This window comes from Homo sapiens, chromosome 9 (assembly GCF_000001405.40).
Source record: "Homo sapiens chromosome 9, GRCh38.p14 Primary Assembly".
Taxonomy (NCBI): domain Eukaryota; kingdom Metazoa; phylum Chordata; class Mammalia; order Primates; family Hominidae; genus Homo; species Homo sapiens.
The window spans coordinates 69224136-69236566 of NC_000009.12; the positions used below are offsets into that span (position 1 = coordinate 69224136).

Below are 12431 nucleotides of genomic sequence, written 5' to 3' on the forward strand. Positions count from 1 at the left end.
TGATAGCAATTCAGAGTCCATAAACTCCCAAAGCTATGCTGGTTTTAGTTGAATGCTTTATTAATTACTTTGCCTGACTTCTTTACCCCTTTTCTTCACCCACTGAATTCCTTTCAATGCCAAGCTTCATATAATCTAAAATGCTAGATTTTTTGCAGTGCCTTCCTGTAGACAGCCTCATTGTCAGCAGAACATGCCTATTAAGGTGTGCTGAATTGTTTTTTTTTCTCCCCAACATTTTATTTGAAAAGTGTTAATTTGGCCAGGCGCAGTGGCTCACACCTGTAATCCTAGCACTTTGGGAGGCCGAGGCGGGTGGATCACCTGAGGTCAGGAGTTCGAGACTAGCCTGGCCTACATGGTGAAACCCTGTCTCTACTAAAATACAACAATTAGCTGGGCATGGTGGTGGGCACCTGTAATCCCAGCTACTTGAGAGGCTGAGGCAGGAGAATCACTTGAACCTGGGAGGCAGAGGTTGCAGTGAGCTGAGATCATGCCCCTGCACTCCAGCCTGGGTGACAAAGCAAGATTCTGTCTCAAAAAAAGAAAGAAAAAGAAAATGTTAATTTTATAGCAAATAAACATATAACCTTCATCTAGTTTTACCAGTTGTTAACATTTTGCCACACTTTCTTTTTCCTCCTCCTTTTTTTTTCTTTCCTTCTACTCCATCACCCTTCCTGTTACCTCTCTCAGTGGGTTTTTTGGTACTATTTAAGTAAGTTGCAGGCAACTCACCATTACCCATAAATATTTCAGAGGTATCTTCCAAAGATAAGAACATTCTCCTACATCAGTCACCGTAATACCATTATAACACTTAAGAAGATTAACATTAATATCCCTTTCATATATTATAGTTCATTTTCAGATTGCTCCAAATGATGTAACTCATTCTTCCCCCACCCTCCACTGGATCAGGGACCTATGGTAGTTCATGCATTGCATTTGGTTTTTATGTAACTTTTAATCTGGAACAGTTTCTCTACCTTTTTTGTTTTTTATGGCATTGACTTTTTTGAAGAGTTCAGGCCAGTCATCTTACAGAATTTCCCATATACAAAATTAACTTTTTAATACATATTTTAAAATAGTCCTATAAACCAGACTAAGTTTTTTGAACAAATTGATAACATACGTGTATGTTTATGTGTTTGTCTCCTAGAGTATGGTCTCCGGCTTGGGAGTCAGATCTTCGTAAAGGAAATGACCCGAACGGGTCTGGCAACTAAAGATGGCAACCTTCACGAAGGAGACATAATTCTCAAGGTGGGTAGATGGGGGCAGAGAACGGTAGTGTGCATACTGCCGTTCATCGCCTGCATGTCCACATTCAGCACCCACACAGTGAGACTTAGATCCAGTGAGAGTCAGTGGTAAGACAGAGGTGGCAAGAGCAGCATAATGAGACGATTTTTATCAGAAAAACCAGACATTGAGGGTCGTAACAGTTTAATGTCAGTTTAGAAAACAAAAACAAAAAAACTCCATGAATATTTTCTTCTTTCCTGTTTAAAGTTTAGATCCCTATTCCCTAAACTAAGGAAAGATGAGAAGGAAAGTTGGTGATATATGAATGCTGAATATTTAATAGGTCTTGTAAACCTCTCCAGTCAGGAAACACGTTCCAGTAGTAAACCAAACCGTTGTCTTGAGCTTGGAAGTTAAATAAATTAGCAGAGTAACTTACACCTGTATTTGGGATCCAGGCATGCAGGATTATATTTAATTTAAACGACAATTCATTTTTATTGAGTCATCCTAAAGCCAATATCTGTTTGAATATCTGAGCAAAGCCTTTACATTTTTAGAAGGGGAAAATATGAATTTTCTACTGTGAATAATTTTATTGCATTTAACATTACCATTTTTTATAAACACAGATCAATGGGACTGTAACTGAGAACATGTCTTTAACGGATGCTCGAAAATTGATAGAAAAGTCAAGAGGAAAACTACAGCTAGTGGTGTTGAGAGACAGCCAGCAGACCCTCATCAACATCCCGTCATTAAATGACAGTGACTCAGAAATAGAAGGTAAAGGAAGAGGAGGCTGTGAGCTTAGCTGGAAGTAAGGAAGGCTGTTGCTTCCCCATTCTTCTATTTAGTGTAGCTATCCAGCTGGAAGTTAAATTTCTAAGGAAAGACCCCTTGAAACCTTAATCTCCAAAGGTCACTGGTTGGTTGTTATTTGCTTATTAAAGTGCCTATTGAAATTAGGTTTCCAATACAAAATTCTGGTGCATTTGCGAACTCTCAGAGAACTATTAATTAGGCAATTGAAAGCAAAACTTGTCAGTAAAAAAATGTGTGTTTGAGTGGTTCAAAGAACTAACCATATCATTTATATATTTGCTAATTGCTTATTGTTTTTTTTTGAGACAGAGTTTCCCTCTGTTGCCCAAGCTGGAGTGCAGTGGTACAATCTTGGCTCACTGCAACCTCTGCCTCCCAGGTTCAAGTGATCCTTCTGCCTCAGCCTCCTGAGTAGCTGGGATTATGGGCGCCTGCCACCACACCTGGCTAATTTTTGTATTTTTAGTAGAGACGGGGTTTCACCATGTTGGCCAGGCTGGTCTTGAACTCCTGACCTCGTGATCTGCCCGTCTTGTCCTCCCAAAGTGCTGGGATTACAGGCGTGAGCCACCAGGCCCAGCCTTAATTGCTCATTCTTTAAAAGTGGCTATTAATATCTCTAATAGAGAAGACAATTTGGAGGATAGCTAAAACAAGTAGATGCTCAAAAAGAATCAAAATGGCTAATATTGTGGCATTCATTAATTAGCAGTCTGCATCACCTCTTCCCTTTTAAAGAGCTATATTCATTATTTGAATATGAATTATACATAGGATAACATTTTAACCTTGTAAAAATTGCCAATAAAAATAGTTAATCACAGTATATTCTACTGAACCATCTACTGTTGCTTTTATGCAGAGAAGTTTAGAAAATATTAAGTTACGAAGTTGTAAAGCAGACTTTTGTTGATTTTTTTTTTTAAAGGAATTTCTTTGTAAAACCTTAAAACTTAATTCACTTTCCAGTGTATCAGAAGTTGTTGATGACTGTTACGGGTGCAGTGCAGGAAAACAAAAGGAGCATGAGAAATAATGCCAGCATGTTAGGGGGTTTGCAGTTTATTTCCTTGCTACTCAGTATGTGGTCCTCATCCCCCAACCCCTGACCCCAATAGCATCTGCATAATCAGGTAACTGGATAGAATTGCAGAATCTCAGTCTCCCCTCAACTGCCCCACAACAACTGCATCCTAACAAGATTTGTATGCACCTTAAAGTTTGAGAAGCATTGGGCTGCTTGGGAAGAATTAGTGTATACATCTATGATCCAATAATAGAATTTTGACTCTTCTGTAGCAGCTTTGATGGAAAATGAGACAAAAGAGAAATACACAATTCTAAATTTGCCTTCCCCTTTATTAATTAATGCCTTTCCCTTAAAACGAGCAAGTTTTTCTCCAGGGGAGGACTATTAGACTAATAGCACATTTCCTGCCTACCTCGTTTCCATTTCCCGTGTTTCCTACCCAGAGAATAGTGCAATTTCTCTGGGTAGGAGAATATTTTAAATATTTTATTTAAAAGTCTTTTCTTATTTTTGAAACTAGATATTTCAGAAATAGAGTCAAACCGATCATTTTCTCCAGAGGAGAGACGTCATCAGTATTCTGATTATGATTATCATTCCTCAAGTGAGAAGCTGAAGGAAAGGCCAAGGTAAGATGACATGAATATTCTCTTGTACATGTCATTGTGAATGTACACACATATGTATTTATGAAACTGTTATCTCTTGAGACATTTACGTATGACATGTGATTCAGTTCCAGAGAGGACACGCCGAGCAGATTGTCCAGGATGGGTGCGACACCCACTCCCTTTAAGTCCACAGGGGATATTGCAGGCACAGTTGTCCCAGAGACCAACAAGGAACCCAGATACCAAGAGGACCCCCCAGGTGAGCCATTAAGACCACTCAGTTTCAACAGTTGTGTTCAGAAGTGTGTGCTCACACAGCCATAACAAAGAGTGAAATCATGTCCTTTGCAGCCACGTGGATGCAGCTGGAGGCCATTATCCTAAGCTAATTAACATGGTAACAGAAAACCACACAGCACATGTTCTGACTTTTAAGTGGGAGCTAAACATTGGGTACAAATGGACATAGAGGTGGCAGTAACAGAAACTGGGGACAACTAGAGGGGAAACTACTAAAGGAGGAGATGGAAAGGGTTGAAAAACTATTAGGTATCATGCTCACACCTTGGTGACAGGATCAGTTGTACCCCAAACCTCAGCATCATGCAGTATATGCATGTAACAGACTTGGACGTGCACCCACTGAACCTAAAATAAAAGTTGAAATTATACACATATATGTAAATACATAGATATGTATACATATATGTATGCATGTGTGTATATATGTATACAGATATGTATGTACATGTATATGTGTATGTATAGATAAGTGTGTACTTAATTCCAGAGGGTGGCTGAAAGGGAAGAAGGAAATAAAAAATTATATATGGAAGAGGCCTTCCTTTCTCTCTTTTGACGTTGACAAAATATAAAATAATAGCCTTGTCTAAATGCCATTAGAATTGGTCACACTTTGTCATATTTGATGAGTTGAGGTCATTGTTTTCTCCCATCCTTGATCCTGACCTCTTCCCCCAACCCTTCCCCACCACCCTACAATTATCATCATAATTTTATATTCATAAATATTTAAGGGGAAACAGTATCATTATTGTATGTTTTTTAAGTTGTTAAAAATTCTATGTTCTTGTGCATGTGATTGTACACCTTGCATTTTAGAGGTTCATTTTTTATCTCTTGTATTTTGAGAAACCATTGGCACCTGCTAATACTTCAGAGTTAAACGGCACTTTAGAGACTTCTTTTTGTTTGTGGTGACATATGTGGCATAGACTTACATTTTTTGTGGATTTTGTGATTTTTCTATTTAGAAACGCACTCTTGTTAGTCCAGATTGATAACAGTAGATGTTTCTTAACCTACAGCTCCTCAACCAAAAGCAGCCCCGAGAACTTTTCTTCGTCCTAGTCCTGAAGATGAAGCAATATATGGGTATGTATTTCCGTCTCTCTTTGTTTTCCCTTCTTCCTTACAGCTCTGTCTCTGTAACTGAAATCCAGAAGAGTGGTGGTTTTTGCCTAGATGGTGATTTTGTACACTGTCAGCCACCTGTAACCAATCCCCATTGGTAGTGCTTATGAGAAAGAGGAATGATTTGTGGGAACAGCAAAATGCGGAAGTGGGTGAACTTTGTGATGTTAATGTTGTCTGTTTACCTACCTATCTAGCTACCTTTCCAGAGTGTTACTCTGAATATTTGCGTTTGTCAGATAAATTCACTCCCAAATAGGTGAAGTATTTATTGCTAAACTACGGTGCCCTGTGGTGACTGCACTGATGTGATGGTCCCAGTGTCAGTCCGTGTGGGGGAGGGAGGAGGAGTGCTGCTGCGCTCTGCACTTGATAATCAGAACCCCTAGTTCAGCAGGGTTCAAGGGCAGCAGCCTCCTGGATTAGGATTCTGCTTCTTTGTACCCAGACTGTGTCTTTATTTGACAAGAATGCAGTGCAAGCGGGCCTTCCTTTGGAAGAATTTTAGCCCTAACTCTGCCCTTTATTTGCTTTCTCATCTTGAAAGAGTTGCTGTAAAGATTCTATAATTCTATGTCTTCACCAGTAACCAGGGACCTACTGATACTCATCTCATGGTCCCAAGAAAGATAAAATTGTAGGATATATGAGATAGATGAGAAAAATGAGAGGGCTTTGTAAACTATAAATCACTCTGTAGCTAGAAGAAATTAAATCTCTCATTTGCTAATGTTGTTCTCCCTTTTAAAAAATATCTCCCATCTTTCCTTTCTGAAACGGAACCTATTGCAGCCCTAATACCAAAATGGTAAGGTTCAAGAAGGGAGACAGCGTGGGCCTCCGGTTGGCTGGTGGCAATGATGTCGGGATATTTGTTGCTGGCATTCAAGAAGGGACCTCGGCGGAGCAGGAGGGCCTTCAAGAAGGAGACCAGATTCTGAAGGTAAGAACAGCCCAGCTCTGTTTCTAGAAGTTACTTGTAAGGAGTGCACTTTTCTGGGTGTTCTTTCTGTAAGGGAAGACAAAATGGTTCAGCTGGTGAAATAGAGCAGCTGCAAGTTTGTTGATGCCCAGCATTGAAGTCTCTGTATTCCTCAAATGCGTCCTGTCTTCTCAGTCTTGGAACCCAGAACTCATCCATGTATCTGTGAGAACTGATAGTGTTTCTGCCCTTGCCAAGATTTTATTAGTCTGATTAATGTGAAAATATTGAGACTCTAAGTAAGCACTTACAGGAAAGATTTTTCAAAAAGATTTTTCTGATTTTTGCTTTTTTCACTGTGTTCCCCCTGCCTGCCATCTTTCTTAAGGCAGTGTCCTGAAATTGAACAAAGGTGAGTGGTTGGCATCAGACTGGGTGATTGGAATTTCGTCCCAGCCTCTGATTAGTTCTGTGACCCTGGTTCACCCTGAGACTCAGGTTTCTGTATCTGTTTAATGGGGATGAGAATACCTGCCTCGCAGGGACTGTGGGAAGATTAGACCAGGTAACACTTACAAGGCACCTAGCAGAGTTCCCTGGCACAGAATAGGAAGGTGAGTGTCCATTCTTTTTTCTTATTGGAAGATAACAAATAGCTGCTACTCAATGTTATTTACATCTAAAATTGTCCAAGAAAGGGAATTCCTGGTTAATCAAATATTGATACTTTTAAAATTACTATGTGTTTGTATAATCTGTTAAGGAATTAAAAAATAACTCAACTTGACATTTGTGTATGTGTGTGTGTGTGTGTAGCATTCTTTGTTGACTTCGGAATAAATTTCAAGAACATCAAGTATCTCCTTACAATAAAAATATAGAGTACTAGGGAACTGTTTTTTTTGTTTTTTTTTGTTTTTGACAGTCTCGCTCTGTCACCCAGGCTGGAGTGCAGTGGTGCTATCTCAGATCACCGCAACCTCCGCCTCCTGGGTTCAAGCAATTCTTAGTCCTCAGCCTCCCCAGTAGCTGGGATTACAGGTGAACTCTTAATTTTTGTCTTTTTAGTAGAGACAGGGTTTCATCATGTTGCCCAGGCTGGTCTCGAGCTCCTGAGCTCAAGCAGTCCACATGCCTTGGCCTCCCAAAGTGCTGGGATTACAGGCGTGAGCCACTGCGCCCGGCTGGGAACTGTCTTCATTGGAATTTCTTCCTGCTTCTGCAAACTTGCAGTTCATATATATGAGGTTTTTTTTTTCTTGTTAATGTTAGTAAAAAATCCATATGTAGTAAACTAAGGGGTCTGGTAGGGGCTTCTAGGCTCCAAGGAGAGGGGAGAAAAAAGTTCTAGAATTCTCAAGGAAGCAAGCAGCAGCAAAGTACAAAAGCAGGTGGCCCCCTTCCTTCTTGGCCCCGTTGCAGTATTTCAGATTTCATTTCTGGAGCAGATGAAGGGCAAACCTTGATCATGAGCTTTGCAAAAGCTTTTCAGTGAAATTCTAGACCCTCCTTGGCCCTGGTCAGGATCTAGAAGACTATGTACCTGCACGAACCTCATGTTGCCTTATGATCCTAGGAAATACCACTCACCAAATGTTACTGATGAAAACCCATCTGAGTGCCAGCTCATACCAGTTTACTCTTTGCATATATGCTGATGAAGGAAAAAGGCATTTTTTCTAACTATTGTGAGGCCATAGGATGATAGCTAGAAATGTGGAGCTTTTGCTCATTAAGGTTCAATGATAAAATATTTTCGTATGTTCAGGGGCTGGGAGATTTTCTAAATTTCCGTGAAGAAAAGTAGTGAATTCACCTAGAGGCTTGGCAGTCAGACCTCTCTGTAAGTTGTTGTTAGATGGGGAGAGTCGCTTTGGTGGATAAAAAGTCATGGTATCAGCATTTATACTTAAGGTGTTTTGTTTCTTGTTATCACCCTGGCAACACGGAAGGAACTCTGGGAACTGGCTTCTTTTGCTGTCATCCCATATGGAGGTCAGGCAATAGGTGGTCCTCATTTCTTGGGTGCGAATAAATTTTCTGTTGACTACAAAAGAAGCTTTCCGTTCTAGAAAGGGGTGAAAAAGATTGAGTTTGCCTACGAGGGCGGAGAAGCTGCTGCACAATACTAAGCTGTGGCTGATACAGGATCCTCTTCAGGCTCACAGCAGACACGGCTAGACCCTGTAGACTACTAAATAGCTAATCAAAGAGGATATTTATTGGAAAGGACTGTTCAATGTAACCTTCAAGTAGAAAAGTGCTGCCCTAGCCTTTTTTCACTTTAATTTGTTTCAATGCTCCTTTTCATGGCCAAATTGAATATATAAAGTGAGCCTTATACACATGCTAATCACTTTATTCTGTTGTGGGGTTTTTAAGTGTGGCTCTTTGTTTTGCAAAGGTGACAGCCTAATGTGTGGAATGAAGACGTGAGCCAGATATGTATATTCCTTATCAATAATGGAGATATATGTGCTTTTGCTCATTCCTGCTTGGCTGAACTACCTCTTTGCTTGTTATTTATCTGATAGAGTTGTCATTTCTCTTTCAGAAACTTTTATGGGATGGAAAAGAGAAAAAAGACTTCTAAGTTTGGTTATTAACCATGTAGATTTTTAAAATATAACTACCATGTGTGCTTTAATTTTGACCATTATAGTTTTTGGCTATCGAAGACTGTGATCGAGACTGATCTAAGGTTAATCTCTTGTGGCCAGAGAGATGGACTGAAGGACTCCCAAGGTCCTCCCACAGCCTTGTGGCCCTGTCTTATTTAAGTAAACAAATACAAGCATGTATAGTACATGTGAAAATATACATATGGCTATATGTAGATACAGATGTAGATAAACAAATGGCACAAGAAAGGATACCAAAATGGGATGATTCCTAATTGGGGGACAGAGAGGTACAAATGACAGTACCTTAAATACTAAATACTGTTTCAAAGGAAAAATTAACTCAATTGCTTTAGCACATCACTTTATTTTAAAAGCACCAAATTAGTTTTAGTCTAATGCCGACTTTCACTTAATCATAAATTTTGGCCTTAATTAAGGCCCACCCAACTAAGGATAAGTTTCTTCTTTAATAAAGCATTACTCTTGTGATTAAAAGGATTCTGTAATTGTCAATGACTGAAGAAAATATTTCATAGGAATTTTATATCTTTATTTCTACAAAATATTATTAACATATCAGGTACTTTAATATGGTTTTTGCATTTTACTTATTTATAATTCTGTTTTAAAATAGGCTGAAAGATACAGAACTATGGGCCAGGCGTGGTGGCTCACGCATGTAATCCCAGCACTTTGGGAGGCCTAGGTGGGCGGATCACCTGAGGTCAAGAGTTCGAGACCAGCCTGGCCAACATGGTGAAACCTTGTCTCTACTGAAAATACAAAAAAAATTAGCTGGGTGTGGTGGCACATGCCTGTAGTCGCAGCTACTCAGGGAGGCTGAGGCAAAAGAATTGCTTGAACCCAGGAGGCGGAGGTTGCAGTGAGCCAAGATCGCGCCATTGCACTCCAGCCTGGGCGACAGAGGGAGACTACATCTCAAAAAAAAAAACCACATAGCACTATGATTTCAAAATGTCTTGTTCTTTGTGCTACATTTCAATTTTACTTGCTTTGTAACTGTAAGGCTGATGCTCTTTAATTTGATACATACCTTTCAATTTTATAAACACATGTTAAACACTTTTAGGTGATAGAAGCTATAGGAGAAGGGTAGAATTGGTCAGAGTCTTTATTTGCACACTTTTATTTGAACCAGTTTAAAATTAGTGTAAATGCTGGGCCAGCATGCTCAGTTGTCACAGACCCCAACACTCCCCATGCTTCATACTTGTGTATTACCTTCTTGGCCACCTCTGTGAGAGACTCACAGAAGGGAGATGGATAGAAACAACCACAAGAAATTCTATTGTGATCTGGTGACAGATCCTTGCTTCAATGGCTTAACCTCTAAGGTGCGGTTGGCAGTATGGGGAGGCAGGAAGGTATAGTGTGCAGGCCCATAGCAAGGTGCTGGGCGCGAGGACTTGAATAGTGACATTAAGGACTCATTTGCATCTTGGCTTTGCTCTGGACAGGCCCTGATGAAAACAAACAAAAGGGTCAGTGGCATCTTACTATAAACTTCTCTGTTTTTTCTTTCTTTCTTTCTTTCTTTCTTTCTTTTTTTTTTTTTTCTTTTTCTGTTTTTCCTTCCTAATAGGTGAACACACAGGATTTCAGAGGATTAGTGCGGGAGGATGCCGTTCTCTACCTGTTAGAAATCCCTAAAGGTGAAATGGTGACCATTTTAGCTCAGAGCCGAGCCGATGGTGAGCAAATTTGGTCATTTAGTTTAGTTGGGGTGGGGGTGGGGAGTGGGAAGGATGAGAGAGGTGTCTTGGTACCAGAATAGGCAAATCTGGGTATTAAAAAATTGAGATGGATCTCAACACCTAGTCCTTGGGCCCTAGGTGTGTGAAGAAAATGTGAGTGCCGTTTAACTTTCCATAAAAATGTTTTCTATGCATGCACTGAAATAATTTTACTAGTTGTGTCAATTTGGAATAAAACTGCCTTCCTGAACAGTGATGCAGCCTTATGTTCTGCCTGGAGTTATTAGTGAGTTTACATACGACATGTGCAAAGGCCATGGCTGCTGGCTGGTGCGCCTGTTACCCCTGTCCAGTCTGACAAGTTGTTTCACCTTTCCAGGCCTTGTTCCCATCTGTTAAGTGGGTGTTGAGAGTGTCCTCCTTGTCTGCTTCAGAGCTTGATTGGCAACTGTGTTAATGTTCTCCAGAGAAACAGAATGATAGGAGATATTGGAATCAATAGGAAAGAAAGAGATTTATTATAAAGAATTGGCTCACATAATTATGGAGACTGGCAAGTGCCAAGATCTGCAGTGAAAATGGGCAAGATAGAGACTCAGGAGAGCCAGTGATTTAGTTCTAGTCTCAGTCTGAAGGCCTGAGAACCAGGAGAGCCAATGGTGTAGTTCCAGTACCAAGTCAGGGAAAAGAGCTGATGTCGCCTTTTGAAGGCCATCAGGCAGGAAGAGTAGTTTCCTCCTAATTTTTTATTTATTTATTTATTTATTTATTTATTTATTATTATTTTTTTGAGACGGAGTCTGGCTTTGTCGCTGAGGCTGGAGTGCAGTGGAGCAATCTTGGCTCACTGCAAGCTCTGCCTCCCAGGTTCACCCCATTCTCCTGCCTCAGCCTCCCGAGTAGCTGGGACTACAGGCGCCCACCACCACGCCCGGCTAATTTTTTGTATTTTTAGTAGAGACGGGGTTTCACTGTGTTAGCCAGGATGGTCTCGATCTCCTGACCTTGTGATCCACCCACCTTGGCCTCCCAAAGTGCTGGGATTATAGGCATGAGCCACCACGCCCAGCCTAGTTTCCTCTTAATTGAGAAGGGGTCTGATTGTCATTCTCTTCAGGCCCTCAACTGATTGGATGAGGCCCACTCGCATTGGGGAGGGCGATCTTCTTTGCTCAGTCTACCCATTTATACGTGACTGTCATTCAAAAACACCCTCAGAGAAAGGCATAGAATAAAGTCTGACCAAATACCTGGTTATTTCATGGCCCAGTCAAGTTGAAATAAAATTAACCATTGCAGCAAGCCGTGAAGCTGGTTATTTGTCCTTGTTCCTGTTGGAGCTGTGACTCCCATAGGACTTGTGCACTGAATGGAAGGAAGGTAAAGGGGAGATCAGAGATAGGAGAAGCTGTGTTGAGTGTCTAGTACTGTAACTTGTACTAAGCTGAATGCAACAAACGATGCTTTTGTCTTTCAGTGTATAGAGACATCCTGGCTTGTGGCAGAGGGGATTCGTTTTTTATAAGAAGCCACTTTGAATGTGAGAAGGAAACTCCACAGAGCCTGGCCTTCACCAGAGGGGAGGTCTTCCGAGTGGTAGACACACTGTATGACGGCAAGCTGGGCAACTGGCTGGCTGTGAGGATTGGGAACGAGTTGGAGAAAGGCTTAATCCCCAACAAGAGCAGGTAACAGAGATCGCATTCTCACATACCCCTTTTAATCCTTCCCCCTGCAGAAAACTAGAGACCGCCCCCCTTCCCCCGTAAAAGGAAACCCCACATGATGAGTTCATTACTTGTCACCATCTATTTCTTGTTTATGGAGAGTGGCCTGAACTGTAAATAGCCACCAGCCAGTTTATTGTGAGTAAATTTAGCATCATGTGGTTGGTTGCTGAATGTGGCTGTTTGAACAACTTCCTAAGGAGCATCCACTGCCTTGTACCGTATACAAGAGATATACTGAATGGCCGTAGCACACCAGCACACCTCTTAGAGACAAGGTACCCTTGTC

The 12431-nt window shown here is 40.8% G+C and overlaps 1 protein-coding gene across 20 annotated transcripts in view; it reads left to right on the forward strand.

Annotated features, from left to right (window-relative positions):
* The window catches only part of TJP2 (tight junction protein 2), a 133945-nt gene that overhangs the window by 102872 nt on the left and 18642 nt on the right, over window positions 1-12431 (forward strand). For 19 of the 20 annotated variants that reach the window (XM_011519206.3, XM_011519208.3, NM_001170414.2 and 16 more), the window contains 8 exons: window positions 1169-1272; window positions 1887-2040; window positions 3630-3738; window positions 3846-3979; window positions 5049-5115; window positions 5947-6097; window positions 10304-10412; window positions 11893-12103. In XM_011519206.3, coding sequence (XP_011517508.1) covers window positions 1169-1272; window positions 1887-2040; window positions 3630-3738; window positions 3846-3979; window positions 5049-5115; window positions 5947-6097; window positions 10304-10412; window positions 11893-12103 — 1039 coding nt within the window. The remainder of the gene's footprint in view (window positions 1-1168; window positions 1273-1886; window positions 2041-3629; window positions 3739-3845; window positions 3980-5048; window positions 5116-5946; window positions 6098-10303; window positions 10413-11892; window positions 12104-12431) is intronic. The other variant, NM_001369870.1, reaches the window with a different exon arrangement.